General features: G+C 43.1%; 1 long non-coding RNA gene across 1 annotated transcript in view; it reads right to left on the bottom strand.

The window, feature by feature from the left end:
• Positions 1-3,081: 3,081 nt before the first annotated feature.
• Positions 3,082-18,211, bottom strand: part of LINC01140 (long intergenic non-protein coding RNA 1140) — a 39,440-nt gene continuing 24,310 nt past the window's right edge. The window contains exon 3 of the long non-coding RNA NR_026989.1: positions 3,082-4,150. This is a non-coding gene — a long non-coding RNA (long intergenic non-protein coding RNA 1140). The remainder of the gene's footprint in view (positions 4,151-18,211) is intronic.

The following is an 18,211-nucleotide window of genomic DNA, read 5'->3' as shown; positions in this document are numbered from 1 at the left end:
GTGGTAAGACTTTCCAGTTAAAGACAATTACTGTAGTCCCAACACCCACTATGTTCCTGATTAGCTCTGTAATTAAATTACCAATTAAAGGGAACTGAAAAAACTCTTCATTGGATAAAGTAAAATGTCCTTAATTATGATGTTGTATTCTCCATGAACAGAAGTAGAAATATATATACATACACACTCACATACAAGAAATTAAATATATATGTACCCATCTATAAATGTCATCTTTCATAAACTTTTCCCTACCCGCACTTCACACTCAAGTTTCACGTCAAAGTTGTGACTCTCCTTAGTTTTTTTTTTTTTGTTTTTTTTTAAGAGGGTGGGTGGGAGGGAAGAGGGACAAAGCAAGACAACTTTATTGGTTTAAACTTGCCTCATGAAAATAATGATATTGATCAAATTTATAGAGCTTGATTCAAAATGGAATTGTTCAAGCTACTTCCAAATGAGAGCAATATGATTTTTAAAAAGCACATAAAATGCACCGTTGTCATCTAAAGGGCTAACTTTTGCTACCTATGAACCCTGCTTTTTCTCACACAAAAGCAGTTAGGATAGTCTATAAGATAGAACAGTGATCTAGAGGAATCCTGGGGTATTGTGCCTTATGAGTCTGAGGGTTGGACTCTCTGAAGCTTCATGTGGCTTTCACGTTTTTCGAATGCATAATACAAGAGAGGGAATAAAAACAGCTACGATCAGGACGGAAAGGACTTCCCTTTTGTTTCTGTAGTTACACTTTACAAAATTTACCATTTTTCCCTGAGGGTGCAGAATCACTAGTGTGTTAATTAAGTTCACAACAGCACACAGCAAATCAGGAAATAACAACAACAACAAAGCCAAAACTTCTTGCAGCAAAACTGAGTCTCTGAAGTTGCCCATGGCATATGAGGAAGTCATACCCTACCCTCCCATACAAGCATTCCAAATACTTAATGTGCCAAGTAAATCATTTCTTAATTATTGGGAGGTTTTAATTCATTTCCCCAAATCTCCTCTGCTTTCCCCCTCTCCAGTCTCCTCCCAAGTTACTCTATAAATCTGTGCCTTTCAGTGTATTCAAGTCTTTAAGCTAGATTTTGTGTTGTATACTTCAATCAGGGAGAAAGGAATTTAACACAAACATTCCAAAGGAAATTCTAGTAGGGCGATGAAATTTAGTGTGGAAATTTTTATCTCAAAGGAGACATGGATTGGGGAAAGTTCTTATTAAGCAGCAATTTTCCATGGACAAAAACTGAACTCTCATCACTGCTACTATAAGCATAATCACAGGCACATTTGTAAATGGCCTTTGTATACCCGTTTATAGCTTTTAATGAAACCTAGAAACAGAATCCTGAGGTCTATCATTGGGCACTTGCTACTTTAACGCTGGTACATAACAGATGACGAAGTGCAAATGGATTGCCCTTCTTTTCTATTCAAAGAAAAAAAAACTTAGCAGGTATGTCTTGGCTTTTTCCTGGTAAAACTGAAAAAAAAAAATCTCAAAAGAGAATATAGAACAGTACACCCATAGTTTGTAGCTGAAGCTCTGACCCACAATTTCTAGTGGCCAGCACTTTCCTCCTTTCAGTTCTTCCATTTTATAAATGCGGAAATTTAGACCATCAGCAGCTTCCACAGACAGTCACAGAAAATGCTGTGCTGTCAGGCCAAACCCAAAAATCAGAGCAAAACTAAGGTCTAAATGCCCAAACCTGATCATCTTGACTCTGAGAAACTTGTTAAAGCCATTCAGGCAACCGTTTGCTCAAATTTCTTTAGAAAGTCAGCCTCTCATCACATAGGAGGGATGATTCGTCTTCCCATAGCATGTGATGTTCTGTTTTTGGCTGAGGAAGCTGTACCCTGCGTCACACAGCTCTGCAGCAGGACCTCTCTCTACTAAACACGCTCGCTTCCCACACGAGCTGCCATATGTCTTACCCTTCAGAAGAAGTTGGGTGTGAATCCATTTTTATTTTAGCAAGGACTCTGATTCTGTTCGTCATTAATCTTCCCCCTTTGTCTCATCCCTCATCTCTTGCCAAATGACTTTTCAAGTACTCACTGAACTTATTTTAAAGGACAAAGCATTTCTATACTCCCTCTGTTAAGAGATACCATGAGAAATGAAGAAAATGGCTGGAGGACCTTTTTTTATTTAATGAGGGATTAATAGACATTTTTGTAAATGCCTTTCAATAAAGGAAACCCATTAAAGAAACTTAGTGAAAGTTACTCTCGTGATCTCTAAGTAGACACGGGGGCAGTGATTCTCAAACTTTCACATCCTCACAGAATCCTAGGAGATTTGTTGAAAATGCACACTCCTGGGCCCCACTGCTATCTGACCCAGTAATTCCTGGGGCCCAGAAACCTATATTTTTGAAAGCTCAGCAAGCAATTCTGATGCAGGTGGTCCCAGGACCACACCTTGAAAAACACTGACCCAGTGAATGTTTATCCACATGGCAGAGATAATTTGCAGCCCTGGTTTGGGGAGAGCCTGGCTTCAGGATATTGGAATGTTAAGAGGTCAGGAACGAAGGGCTTGGGTTGAGACATGGGGGCCTGAGATGTCAAAGGTCACCTGCCCACTTCTTTTCTGAGTCTGACACATAACTTAGGTTGTCTTGTTTTCATGAGTTCCAAACTCAACCATTAGGAAATAAAGAATGGCCTGTTCAAATTCTTTCTGTGAATCTTTCCCAGGTTCCTTTGGAGCAAAAGGCCTGTGTTCCCTCCCAGGAGTTGGCTGTGCTCTTTGTATAGCTGTGTGTTTTCTTCTTCCACTCAACTGTCAGTACTCAGCCAATACAAAGCAGTTTCCTTGTTCTGAATCACATTTTCAATGTAGACCATAACTAATCTGGACTTTGAAAATCAAAATGGGGAGCACAACATGTGACCTGAATGTGATTTTTTTTCCATAACCGGAGCTCTTAATATTTAGTTTTGCTTAATGACCTAAGACATGGATCCACACGGATTACTCTTTCTGCCCCATTCAATTCACACACAGAGTAGAATTCACATAACCAGGCATTAATTTTTCTCATATAAATAATTAATTCTACATTTAAAAACATGTTAAGATGTTTTATTTCTTAATCAGCTAATTTGACTGGGAAACAAAGATGCCTTTTATTCACATTTTCTTTGAGTCGTGTTACTGTAGTAAAAGTTCCCCACAAGATTTGGCCTTTGCTCACAAGTTTTGCGGCTGCCAATTAGTTTCCAGAGTCGCTATTTTACAAAAATGCTTCTCACTTTTAAAAAATGTAATTGAATGTCTGTTCATCACAGAGTTTCTTGTGTTCAAGCCCAGGGTGTTAAACATTTTTCAGGTTGACTTGGGTCAGCTTTGAAAAATTTCAGACAGTGAAACTTGAGAAGGGACCGTATGCTATAGTGTGTTCCTCACATCCTGTTAAGTATTAAGTGGATATTTAAAATGGAGTTGTTATACCTCTTGACTGACTTAAAGTGAGCCATATAGTTTACAAGACTATTAATTAAATGAGAAGATTGCATGGGATGCACATGTATTTTCATAATCATTCACATTGGCCCGGAGTTGCCCTTTAATTTTCAGACTAATTAAAGTAACACATTCAACTGCAAAGGGTGGATGGCTGCGTTTCTGCATAGATGCTAACACTGATGAAAGTGAAATGGGGAATTTTTCTTTTTTAAAGGAAAAGGAGTGGGAGAAGAAAGAATCCGCCTGAGTGGACCTGACTCCATTCCATTCATGGCTCCCTATTTGTTCCACTCCTGGATCAAGTTTTTAATTTAACAAGACTGCATTTTGAGGGGAGTTTTCAACCCCATCTGTTTGGGGCCAGAGTGTGCCCCACCTGGTGGTGCAATTGATTTCTGAATTAACCGGGCTTTATTTCAGTACAATAGAGCGATTGTTTAGTTGCTTTTAAGCACTAGGATTCTTGGAATCTGATGGGCAAAAAAATAAATCAGACTGCAACGTGTGGTTCTCTGGGCTGCTAATTGCATCTGACCCATTATCCTCCACAGTTCTGGTTCAAACTTTGACACGGCTGACTTGGAGTTTGAAATGTAAATGGAAGGGCTGCTTTTGCAGGTCATCATACTGCAGAAAGTCCATTCCTGGAACACTTTCCAAGGCCTGGAAAGGAGAAGAAACAGATATTAGCAATTATAGCAGGACTGTGCAGCTGCTGGCGTTTGGGACTGGCAGACACAGCCACAGGTCCCTCTCCCTCCAGCACCACCCAGTGTGAGGAGCAGAGATGGAGGGGGTCAGGCTGTCCCATGGAGCGGTGGCAGAGGTGTCAAAGGACCATGAGTTCATTGCATCCAGGGAAAGAGCGGCTGAGGGGAAGCTCCCCACCTCCTCCCACACCCCACCCTTAAAAAGTATGCTGTACTGGCATATAGTTAGCAACTCTTTTTCCTGCCTCTATAGCTTTATCCTTGCCACCCATAAAGCCTCCTTGAAAAAAGTCCGAGGTTTATAAAGATCCTCTCTTTCTTTACAAAGAAAAGTTCCTCCACTCCTAGGAGGCGCATCCAAAAGAAATAGCTTGTGCTGCTCCCCAGCCTGGGTCTAATACAAGGATACAAGTGTTTGCCTTCAGCTCTGCTCCCCTGTAACCACGGCTCTCTCTCTGAGGGGGTGGGTCCTAAGTTTATTTAACAGTGACTTTTAAAATGTAGCCCAGACAGTGCTTTTAAGGGATGGAGCTGGGCCCTGAGAGGAAAGGAGAGGGCTGGAGAGCGCTGCTGGGGGAAAGGGCGATTCCAATTCAGGAGGGGTTCTGGGGGCTCAGAGGCAAATTGCAGCTGGGAAAGGGAATTGGATCCAATTCCTCAATCTGGAGAGAAAACAGGTCCTGGAAAGAGAGAGGAAGGAAGACGCCCAGGGAGCAGGGCTGCCGACAGCACAGAGCCACCTGTGCAGGGACAGGCCTCCATTGCTGGAGTCTGCAGTCACACTGGGAGCTGCACCCAAGGCGGTGGGCTAGACAGGGGCTTCATTCAGGGTGACCAGGCAGTTCAAACCCCAGCTTTGCTACTCACCAGCTGTATGACCTTGGCCAAGTTACATTATCCTTCTGTCTCAGCTTACAAAATGCTCAAATGGAACAGTGATAAATAATAACTACAAAATAGCACTGTTTTGGGAATTTGATGCTAAGTTGGTACATAGTAAGTGGTACATCATACGTGTTTGATAAACTCCAGGTAATATGATCACTAGAACCAAGGTCTGGCCTCATCTCCTTGTTTGCTGAAGAAAGTTCAAGGTCTCCCAAAGAAGACCACAAGTCCACACATCCATCAGCAATATCAATATGGCACATGTGTAGGGAGGCTTGGCTCCTGACAGACTGAGCTCCTGGCTTTCCAGAGATTACCAGCCATTGGAGGAGACAGACGCAGCTACACCCATAAGAGAGCAAAGGCACTGGCATCCAGTGCCCCTTAAAGCCCCACAGACCTTCTTTAGTCCAACCTTGCAGAGCATTCCATACTGCCCCTATGGGATTCCTGTCCCACTCTGTAGCAAGGAGACAATGCCTTGATATGCTCCAGATCAGGCTGGGGTGAGTTCACTGACTTGGAGCATTCCATTCTCAAGATCGGGAGTCCAACCTAATCTTGCCATTTGCTGGTGTGATGGTTAACCAAATGTGTCAACTTGATTGGCCTAAGGGATGCCCAGATGGCTGGGAAAACATTATCTCTGGGCTTATCTGTGTGTTTCTGGAAGAGCATAGCATTTAAATTGGTAGGCTGAGTAAAGAAGTGCTCCCAGGTTGAGGGTGGTGGCTCATGCCTATAATCCCAGCATTTTAGGAGGCCAAGGGGGGAAGATTGCTTGAGGCCAGAAGTTTAAGACGAGCCTGAGCAATATACAAAGACCCCATGTCTACAGAAAATAAAATAAATTTGCTTGAGCGTAGTGGCAGACGTTGGTAGTCCCAACTACTTGGGAAGCTGTGGTGGGACGATTCTTTGAGCCCAGGGGTTCAGGGCTGCAGTGAGCTGAGACTGCACTACTGCACTCCAGCCTGGGCAACAGAGCCAGACCCTGTCTGAAAAAAACAAAACAAAACAAAACAAAAATCTCCCTCACTCCCTCACCACCTTACCAACACAGGTGGGCACATCATTCAATCTGTTGGGTGATCAGATCGAACAAAAAGGCAGAATGGTGAATTCCCTTGTTCTGCATGAGCTGTGACATCCACATTCTCCTGAGCTTGGACATTGGAACTCCTGGTGTTTAGGCCTTCAGACTTGAACCAGGACTTACATCATTGGCTCCCCCGGTTTTCAGGCTTTTGGGTTTGGAATGGAACTGCACCACCAGCTTTCTTGTGCCTCCAGCTTGCAGACAGCAGATTGCGGGACTTCTCAGCCTCATAACAAATCTCATTCTATAGAGCTATATATATATATCCTATTGGTTCTGTTTCTCTGGAGAACCCTGACTAATACAGCTGGACTTGACCCTGGTTTCTTATCTAAGTGGGTAATAAGAAGATGATGCTGTTGTGAGAGTTTAAGTGTAGCTCCTGGGTGTATTTTTTAAGTGTGTATGGCACTGACTTCGGCAGTATTGGAACAGAGTCATCCCAGACATGCTACTTGGCTCAGAGATGAAGAAATGTACTGTATTTGGGGACAGGTCTATACTGCACCTGGATTCCTATATTTGCTAGTAAATAGCAGCACATGGAGTTATTAATTAGCACTTATGAGTTCATTAGCATTTATAAATAATGTCAACAGAAGCTGATGAACTAAGCTAGGTTGTTTGGGAAGGGGACATGAAGGAGAAAACTTCTCCCTCCACTTGGATTTATATCAATGTTACTTCCCTAGAATCGACCGTCACCAAGGAGTCTGTAAAAATAAACACAAACACAAAGCGCAAGACAGTAAATTCCCTGTATATGAGGGTGGCCTCTCCCGAGTTTCTGGTTCCCATTACTAATCTACCTCATATTGAATGGATTTGAGACTTGGTTTAAAGAAAACATAACAGTAGCAATATAACCAGCCGGGGGGCCATATGTGATTCTTTTTCATAAAATTTTCAAGTTGAAAGGAAACTTGGAGATCATTGTATCATCCCTCCATGCTTCAGGTAGGGAAACCCAGGTCCTAAAGTTAATAACAATTGGGTCTAGAAACTTCACATCTTTATCTCGGTTTCAATGACTCAAAAATGGATGAAACTGACACATCAAATTTAGGGCTAGAAAGTCCATTTGGATCCAATGTTATCACTTCCTTGAAACAGTCCTTCTCTCCACCAAGAAAGCTTGCTTCTTTTACTCTCTCTATTGTCTTTTGGGAACCAAGCATCACTCACTTCCCTTTCAGTCAATCTTTCAGCCCAGCTCAACAAGAATCAATGGCAGTTGATGTCTATACTTCAGTCTCTTCTAGGCAGAGCAACCAAGTGAAACACTGTGGGAACCTCTGGGCTTCTAATGGAAACAGGATGAAAACTATACTGGGCTTAAAGAATTCAACTTACTAGCGACTGAAAGGAGCTTTAGCGACAGGAGAAGGAAGGAGAGGAGCAATTGATTGAAGGAGGGGAAAGAGACATGGTTAGAAAACTAGAAACTCCTAGAGAACTATCAATCCTCAGTTCTTCCATCCATTTGGAAATATGACCATTTTATGCAGATCTAAAACATTTAAATTAAATTTAACAGTTGCTTTAATAGGTTTAAAAAAAACTTTTAAAAGCTTTTCCCACATTCAATCTATACCAGGTGTTTTGCTCACAAAAACTACTCACAAAAGGCTGGCCCCACAATTTTGGTTGTAGCATTCACCTTTCGTTGTTGTCTTATACAGTCTTTGCTACATTAAGCTTTTATCAAATTTCTAAAGGGCACTCTGTATCATCAATTATGATGTCTGGTTTCAAACTTGATTTTCAGTAGCAAAGCCTCACTCTGAGTCTCTGTGTGCAGTATGTAGGTTGACACCTTGGGCTATGCTGGAACAACATCTGGCATTTATGTCTATGTGGACTAGATGGGAAATGAGGGAAGACCAAGTACTAACCCAGGATACAAATGGTTCCGTTTTTAGAGATTTTTATGGATCTCTAATTTAGAACAGTTGCCCAAGTAGGACATCCTGCTGACATTATAATTTTTCAAAAATATCACATTTCTGCAAACAAACATGGTTTCTATCCCAGTAGACTGGCTGTAGTTCTCAAATTCATTGTCGATTATTCTAACCAACCAATATGTGTTCTGTATGGTTATTAGCAAAGAAAACAACCAAGAAACCAAAGGTTTCTACCTCATATTTAAGTTCATCTACAGGGAATACTGGATTCACCCTGCGATTCAATGTTGACCTTTAACTTGGTCAGGAGCTTATTGCGGAAATAGCTACCAAGTCTCCTTGTCTCCTAATACATAATGGTCTTTCCTGACTGTTTTTCCTTCCATGCCCCTCAGGTCATCACTAGATAACATATTGTCTGATCATCAGAGTTCATTGCCTGCTTTAAGCTCCCTTGGGATGCTGACATCTCAGGTTTTGTGGCTAGGATGATGTGACGATCTTGTATGGAGTCTCTGTCTTCAGAACTATCATCAGTGAATGTTAATGACTTAGCAAAGTAGCTCACGCCAACATGAGGCCTTTCAGAGCACTATCAAAGTGCAGGAACTTCTGGATGACGATGTCAAAAAACCAGTGTTCTTTGGGAGCTCTGGGCCCATAATCAATCACCAACTTCCCCTGCTGTGCCTTTGAGCACTGCCATTTTAAATAACTTGCGGGAAAAGGGGCAATTTTCAGCAATATAGAAAAGCTGAAAAGGCATCAGCAACTCTGATGCTGAAGACCCTACCAATAGGTAGTGACCTTAAGGATGTCTTTTCAGCAGCCAGATTTGCTTGCTATCTGCCAGAACTGAGATTTGCTGTTAGTGTAAACACGTCATCCCCACATGCTTCAGGTAGGGCTTTTGTAAGATGCCACAGACAATGACTAAAAGACACTCAAGCAGAGGTGACTGCAAGCAGGAAGCTGAAGAAAATAGACTGAAGGACACTCGAGAACCACACTCCCCACTGAACATCTGTCAATGGCTCCACATCATCCACACAGTGAAGTTTATGCTCATTAGCATGGGCTATAAGAGCCTTCATTATCTGACCCTTCAGTATCTCTGACCTTGTCCTCTATGCTACAGAAACACTCATCCATGCCATTTTTCATCGTGTACCTTTGCTCTGCCTAGAATATTCTCCTGCCATATCTTGAGCTCTTTTTTTATTCCGCAAGGCTAAGCTCAGGTATCAACTCCTCCTAGAAACTTGCCTTTACCATCCTTCTCCAACTACATAAGGCATCACTCCTCTATGCTCAGCTCTACCACTGCATTCACCATAATGTTTACAGTAGTTAATTATCTTTTGCTCCACTTGACCGCAAGGCCCTTAAGGGCAAGGGCTATTTCTTATTTCTCTCTGTCATTTTCATATTCCCTGTACCAAGCACAAAGCCTGTCACACAGTAGATGCTTAATAAATGTTCACTGGATGAAAAATCGTCTTCAAACAATATGAAAAGGCTGTGGAAAAATGGTAACTACCATCCAACACATCTAATGTGGTATATCAGAAATGGGAGGCCTATTTTTGAACCAAATCATTGTGTAGACTGGAAGGTAAGGAACTTGAGTCACTAAGAGTAGCAATATGTATCCCCACCAGCTCCAGCTGTGCAGACACAGCCCCTACTACTGTGGCTGGGGCAGACTACATCTGCTGGTCTCAATATTGCAATAGATATCATTGTCTCTCTCTTCTAATAAAAATTTTAGATTCTCTTCACCCTCAGCTGGCATCTCTTTTGTCTGTGTGCCTTAACTGGTGGAGTGACCCAGACCCTCATCCTTGAGGGATCTGAGCCTCTCAGCCTCTTCTCAGGCCATGGTTGCAGCATTTGTCCATTTACCTTCAAAACTGGGCAAGGGACCATCCAAAGAGAACATCCAAATGGCTCACCTGGGTGGTAAAAATAGGTCTTCCTGCTTCCATTGTGTAAGAGTAGCCCTCCTCTTCTTGATCAGGATCAAATAGTGCTGCTAAGAGGGTGGTTCCTCAGCACATGGAATCTGAAGTGCCCCACCAGTAACCATAGCTTAGAGTTCAATGGGACCCTTCTGTGTCCCCTGGTGGAAGCTTTCTCCCTTTGGAAGCCAAGACCTCTAAGCCTGCAAAACCTAGAATTGTAGGAAAGGAAAGTATAAATTCCCCAAGTGTGTTACCAGGAGTGATGGTAAGCAGAGCCACAGTGACTTTCACTCCTTGGTTCCTGAACTCATGTGTTCCGCCTATTGGCGAACAGCTCCAGGTAATGGTCATTGATTTAAAGTGTACACTGCATCCTGGAGAATAGTGCCTGATCCTCGCAGATACCATCTTCAAGCTGGTCCCTCCACTGTGCCTTCAACAGGCCATTCACTCCAGCAGACCAGATTCTTCTATGTGGTGCTATATGAGATAGGACCATTGGCTGTATTTCTTCCGGTGCACCCCCTTTGCCATAAAGTGAGTCCTGTGGTATGATACAATGTGATGTGGGATCCCTATTGACATATCAAATACTCTAAGCTCTTAGATGGTGGCGCAGGCTGAGGCTCTGCAGCAGGGAAAGGCAATCCCATTGTGAAATATCATTTTTTCAAGTTAAAATGAATCGGTGCTCCTTCTAGCCGTGTAGCTAATTTGCCACCAAGTGGCTTCTTTTTGACCTCAAAAGATAGTATCATGTTGGTAATTGTTCTCTGCTGCTGACAATCAGAGATTGAGCAGCAGCAAGAGCTATATTAATTTGGTGAGTATGAGCCATGCCGTGGACCCATATATCACCTCCAACCCTACCACTCTGGCTACTCCGCTTATGCACCCATTGTGCCAGCACTGCTGTGACCCATGGCAGAGGCTGGCTTACGTCAACTGGCCTGGTCATTCTATCTTTGTGTTGAATACTTTCTGGTGGGTGTTAGTTAACATGTGATACAAAACTCTTCACACTTCATGCCCACTCCTGTATGTGTACCCGTTCCCCAAATCCCCTTGTCTTTTTCCTTCCAGTCCTCTGACCATTTGACTAAGCCATTTTCCACTGCCCATGAGCTTAGACATATTCTCTTTCCACACAAAGTGGATGAGCAGGTACACCACTTAAAGCTATGCCCATTGGGATGATTTCTACTAATTAGTGACTTCAAGGTCACCCTGAGTAGGGCTAAAGTGCAGCAGCAGTTCATTTTCAGCTTGTACCCACATACCAAGCCAACCTTCTCATGAACCAAGCTCAACCTTTCACATGTTCCATCAGCTGGCCATAAGGGACCCCCATGTGGCCACAGGTGTGCACTGAGGCAGAGGTAACATGATGGTGGTGGATGAAAACTTGGCAGTCTGAGCCACTGGATCCTGCAACTTACTGCTGACCTCTGGCCCTGCTCGTGTCCAGTCCCAAATGTACCCTTTTCATCTTATAAGAATTACTTCTGGTCACCCACCAACCTTATAATGTATTTGGTCTGACAGTAAGAAGTTCATGATGGGCAGTTCTGGCTTCATCACCATTGGATGACTAACAGGTACAGTCACAAAGCATGCCAAGAGTTGCTTTTCAAAATGTGTGTAACCTCTGCTTTGAACCCTCTCACTGAACATAGTCATTTGGTGGGTTTTCTGGCCCATCCTGCCATGCCCATTTCTCTGAGCTTTTTTGTCCTTTCTCCCACCAACTGTCACAGTAATTCATTTCTACTTCCTTTTATGTGAGCTCTTACTTTCTCCAAGCTTCTGAGAGCCATCCTAGCAGTACATTAGCAGGATCCCAGGATCTTTGCCAGATGCTAAATCCTGTAGCCCAAGAGAGTGATCCCATATTGATAAATTTTCCCTTATATAACTTTACATTCCATCTACCTTGATCCAGTACTCTCAGAACCCAGTCCTTAAATAATGTTTGATATTCTGCCAGTGCCTGTTAGCTACATCCTGCAGTTCCTGCAGTACCTTTCCTTTGCTAGTGGGCCCAGCACTTCCCCAGCCAGGCAATGCTGTGATTTAACCCTATTTATTAGTCTGGCTGCCAAGAAAGGGACCGTGGGGGCAGATCTTAAAGTGGGAAGGACACATTTGTCTTCTAAGGCAGAGGCCCCTGCATATTCTTCAAGCAAGAGAGGAGTAATGCTAGCCTTTAGCAGACAGGAGTAGGCCACTTCTGCAGGCCCAGAGAGTTTAAGGGAATCTGGAGACTCAAGATATTTAAGTGCATCAAGTCAGATGTCACCATCTAATATCTCAAGGGCTTGTTCTTTCCCAATCAGAACCTTGCCTGGCACAGCGCACATGCCTAGGTTGAGAATTCAACCTTCCCAGGAATTCTCTCAATCTTATGTTTAAGTCCTAGCCCTGATATCAACTTTTTCTGGCTTCTAACTACAGGATATGAGACTTACTTGATATCCAGTAGTGACGCCCTGTGGTTTACATACTAATTGCTTATGAATTGCCTTCTTATCCAATGCATTAATTGCCTCCAGTAATATCCAACCGTTGTCATTGCTCTTATCATTACTATTTCCCCGTATTTCTCCAGTGCCTGGTACATTCACCTACTAGTGCATCCCCTTTCACCAGCATACCATTCCACATCATCACTGCAACCCTGTGCCAGGATCTACTCTGCTCCACCCACTCCCGCTCCCAGAGATGAGGTCCTCACTATCAGTAGCCAGCAGGTGATCTAGCTCCAGAATCCCATCTTAGCATTGCCTTTCTCGGACCACTCCTTGTACCAACTGTTTAGGCTGGGTTCCTTGAGAAGCAGACTTTGAATCAGGGATTTGCATAGAAAGTTTATCAGTGCCTGCCCTTGGAAATCACCATTCATAGAAGTGAAAGCACAGGGAAAGAAACAGGACTGGGTCAAGGGAGAAGTTGGGCTGTGATACAGTCACAAAGAAGGCATCAGTTAACCTCACAGAGAGCTCAGAAGCTGATTTGCACTTAGGAGTTTTCTGAAGTTGTGGTGAAGTGGAGAGACCTTTATAGCCCTGCAATATAAGATTTTGGACACAGGCTAACCCAGGAAAGGGGTTGTTACCTTGAGTGAAGAGGCTCACTTACATAGAGGGCAATGAGCAGAGAGGGAGACAGCTGAGGGCTGTCAGCCAATGGTACTCTCAGCAGCTGGAGGAGTAAGGCTTCAATCCTGAAGGGGGATCTGGGTGGTAGCAAATAGTGACTTCCATAGAACCTAGCTCTAGCTCTTACTAACTTTATGACCTTGGGCAAGTCAGTCATATTCTCTGGGCCTTAGTTTCCTGATCTGTAAAATGGAAATGACAAAAATGTCTACCTCATAGGGTTGTCATGGAGATTAAATGAAATAATAATGCAATGCACCTTAATCAGAGCCTGGCACATAATAAGGAACACTGTAGCTTCTAGATAGAAGAAGCCTGGGGCCTATATGAGAAGCTACTAAATTATGAGATGCAACAAAAGGGGTTGCTAAACTGTGGGCACTGGGAGCTTAGAAGAGGTAAAGATCAAGGAAGTAAATAAGAGCAATTTCAAAGAGCAGACAGTCAATTGATACATGGACTTTAGAAAGGTGTAACAGAAGAAGACAGCTTCCAGATGAGATATTAACAAGAGCAAAGGCCCAACAAACATGGTATTTGCAGAGCAATGATGAAGTCGGCCTGGCCGCTGCAGTGTTTCTTGCCCAGAAGTAGACTAGGAGGTGGGTGGATTATGGAAAGCTTAGACATCCAAGCAGAAACAGCAGCTCTGGACTTCCCAACAGACCATAGTTTAGTTGGACTCGAAAGTGGCTTGAGGGGCATTCCAGAGAAATGGAATGTCTTGGCAGGAGAGGGAAAGGAAGGAAGATGGAGGGAGACAGCGAAGAGAGAGGAATGAGGAGCAGAGAGACATGTGGAGGAGAGAGAAGGCTGGAAACAAATTGGGTATTAAAAGCCAATCCAGAGAGTGCAAAAGAAAATCAGAAGTGAAGAAAGTGAAGAGAAAATGTAGAGTAAATAGAGTTTTAAGAAATAATGGTCTTCCAATTTCAGAAGTTCCAATTCAAAGAGTCGGACTGTTCAGCTATGTTACCTCCTTGAGAAACAATACAAATACATTTATTAAGAAGCCAGAGCTTTGCTATATTATAAATAGTTCTGAATTAAGGTCCCTTCCCAAAATGCCTACTCTTCCAACAGGTGCAATATTACACCATCTGCCCAACAAAAGAATCTAAATGTCACTAACTTCAGAAGAAAATGTAATTGACTGCCTAGGACCCTAGTTTATTATGATATTTAATAACTTGTACTTATATAGCATGTAGGGGCATAAAAGGTGTTATAAATGTTAACCCTCTAATTCACACAATAACTCCTTAGAAAGAGAGAAAGCGTGACACTCCCTTTTTAACAGATCCATTCATTCAACAAACATTTATTGGGTTCCTACATGCTAAGCATTGTAATGATGTAGAAATTTGGCTACATGGAGTTTGATTCAGGCTGTTGGGTGCCTGCCTGCTCCCCCAGACACAATGAGAGCCTCCCAAGAGCAGGAACCATGACTTTTTCTCTCTGAAGTCTTAGAGCCCAAAACTGCACCTGGAAAGAAGTTTTATTCCATAAATATTTATAGATTTTTTAAATTAAATACCCAGCATTACCTATAAGTCTTTGCTACCATTATTAAAAAACATAAACCCCAAAACTCTTGACTTCTGAGGCATTGCTAGCCACTGGACCTTATTTCCTGTGGAACCCCATAATCTCCTCTTTGAGATGGTAAAACATTCACTCATCCTCTGAACACTGTGAATTGTGTGCAATTTCCACAGCCCTTTGCATTTACTGGGTACAAGGTAGAGGCTGAGACGGGCCCCACACTAAGAGCTGCTCTTTTCTTAAAGATTTTTGGCTTCTATGAAGATTTTTATGTTGGAAGGAAAAATAGAACTCTGGATCTAGAAATCACTCCAAGTCAATATCCTCTTGGTAGTCTGGGTTGGGTGTGGGAAAGTTCCACTTGGCGGCTCTGAGGTCCCAACTACTATCAAATGGCTAGCACAAAAGAGAAACAAATTGGATATTGAGCATCTCTCTGACTCAGGTCTTGGGGTCTCACTGTGTTGGTGAGATCATGCTCTAGTGAGATGCTTCACAGGTATCTGGTAATTTAACCAACTTGTACAGGGTCCAAAACAAAGCCATCTTGTGCCATAGCAAAGTCCCGGTGAACTGGAGAAGGAGACACTTACGAGTGTGTGCCTAAATTGTTCACCTTCTACCCCGCCCACATCCCAATGTGGATGCCATTAAAAATCTCAATTGCTAATATCTGGAAGGTATCCTGCGCTCTCAGAACTAAGGCCAGGGTGTCATCTGTCTCTAATCATGAAAGCAGACTCTCTCCAAGCCTGAAGACTGAAGTGGCACCAAAAGTCTCAGGTGCTCCAGCCCAAGCCTGGTGCTATCACCCTTGGGACAGTCACAGCAGATGGTCCATTTTCACAAATGTCAAAAATCAGGCTCCAGACACTCACGAGGCCAGAGCACACCCTAAATTAGCTGTCGGCCACTTAAATCATACAGGTTACACTTTCTCTTTACCTTTTGCTCCCTAACGTTGCTCAGTGAATGACTGTATGAACTGTCGCTCTCCAAAGAGCTTCAAACGAACTCCATGTAAACAGTGCATCTGAAGAGGCCCACAGAACTTGAAAGAAGAGGACTTGGCTTCCCTCGTTCTTTGAAAAATATATCCTGTATCCCTTGGCTGGATCATACAGAAAAAGAAATCTGAGTTTCTTTCTTCTGCTCTTCCGGGGAGGAGGGTGGCACAGTCTGTCTATGGCTGAGCCCACAGTTGTACATGAAAGTTAATATTTCCAGGGCCCTGCGTGGGATACCTTTCCCAGAATTCATGTTCTCCATGGGAAACTGAAATAGCGCGTGACAGTTGCCCTAAGTAGATTTAAATAATTAAATTCAAAAATTCTCAAACCACTTGCTGTTTCAAATTTATTTCTTTAATAACAGCTCAGACTCAGCAACAGACTGGATTAAGGTTTCATTTATTGGAAATTTAAGGTATATCCAGCTCTGGGTGTTGTTTTTAAGTATTTAAGGGGAAATTTGTGCTGGGTGAAAATGAAGAGACTGCAGCATTATAAATTCATTTCCTCTATTAGAAGCAGGGCTGCGCCTGCACGCTGCAGCTGTTCCAGGAGGCAGTCCCGACAGGCTGGAGGGCGAGCCGGGAGCAGACAACCCTTTGTTTCCCCAGTAGGGGAGATTTGGCCAGTCCAACACCCTCGGCAAGAACGATTTCCTCAGTGGCGCCAGGCAGTTGGGCAGGATCATCTGGGGTGGTTTTCATGTGGCAAAGTAAAGCATCCTTTGGGATTCCAGGGCAACTTCTAAGGGATCCATTTGCATCTGTGACCTCAAACCATGCCGTGCCCCAGGCCCCAAAGATGGGAGGCTGCCATGGCCTGAGCCTAGTTTGCTGACCTCTGAAATAACCCATCCTGAGACATTCAGCAAAGCCTCAGAAAACAGGTGTTACATTGCAGGTAACAGCCCCACGGTACTTACTATTCATGCTAACAATTTTACAAACAAGTGAGTTTCTTATACATTCATCGCCACCCCCAGGCATTCATATTCTTTTTAAGTACAGAAACCTTAATTAGATTTTGACCACAGACCCGGATTTGACTTACCCTGACAGGGTTTCCATTAGTGTAATCTGTGGGGGAATTCGCTGTTTTAACATCTGTGTGCCTGAGGCCTATCTCACATTTACTGCAAAACTCTGAAAAGCCTCCCTTGTATGGCTGTATGTTTCCTCATGCTCCCAATTTCACAGAAGTCATTTCAGCACCAAACGGTAATTAGCAAAGGGATGGGCCTCAGCTGACATGAATGCAATTTATTGTTTTCCACGAGGCCCTGAACCAAGCAAACAAAGAACACAGTCTAGCTGTCTGGCATTTTATTAACTTGTATTGTGCGGTGCACCTTACTGAAGGGAGATCTTCAAGAGAAATTCAGCAGTTTGTGTGTGGCAACACACAGACTTTGGAAGAATATTAATTTCAGTTCAATTAGGCAAGTTTTGTGGTACCTCAGCCTGTAATAGAGGACAGCCACTTTTATAATTATCTTCCATATTAACTTTATCATCACCAGACTTCTGCATAAATTCAACCTTTCATCTTTAAAATGCCAACACTTCTTCAATTTTGGCAACCGTACAGCACTGCTAATTATTTGCTCATTATGTGTGGTTAACTGATGAATCATTAATAAATGAATGAATGGCTAATATATTTTTATGGTAATTGGAGATATAACTGATTGCGGACTTCCTTAGCTTCTCAAAACGGCACTGAATGAGCAGTGGCTGCCTAATTGTTTACAGATGATATTTATGCCCCCACCCAGCATTTCCCACAGTTGTGGTTTATCCCTGGCATATTCTCATCAGTCCAGGGTGGCGGCTTGAACCAGTCTGGGCAGAGGGGAGTGGGCGGCAGCATAACCGAGCTTCCCTTATTGTGTTTCTGTCACCTCGTTTGTTTCAGCTCAGCTGACACGTAACCACGTACGAGCCGCATGACCATTTGCTAGCAATTCAAACAGTGCTTGTGGACTCTATTTGACTAGCCATTGGCAGGGCCACAGCTATGACACTGCTGTGGTTACCCCTAGTCACAAACACATAAAGACTCAGATGCTGACACACAAAGACTCGGGCCATCCAACTGCCACCTGTCTTGCCTGGCACACCCAAAGGAGCAGTGGCCAGTGGCCACCCAGCGTGGTGTCTCTGTGGTTGAAGAGTTAAAGGGGACCCTTTGCAAAGTTTGACTGGGAGACTGGAGTCCAATTTGCACCACTGACTGAAGTCCAGAAAATAAAATCAACCAGAGATCCTTTAACTCCATTCACTGACTCACCATTCCACAGCTGGTTAACGTGTTTGGAGATTAACTGCTGAATTACAAAAATTATATTTATCATGCTGCAAATCAGTCAGCACCTATAGGTTAAAAACAAAGAGTACGTATTTGTTGACAATTCTTGTGAAAATGAAAGATAGAATACTTG

The sequence above is a fragment of the Homo sapiens genome, chromosome 1 (genome assembly GCF_000001405.40).
Source record: "Homo sapiens chromosome 1, GRCh38.p14 Primary Assembly".
Taxonomy (NCBI): Eukaryota; Metazoa; Chordata; class Mammalia; order Primates; family Hominidae; genus Homo; species Homo sapiens.
The sequence above is the reverse complement of the archived record's forward strand: the minus strand, read 5'-3'. Positions and strand labels throughout refer to the sequence as shown.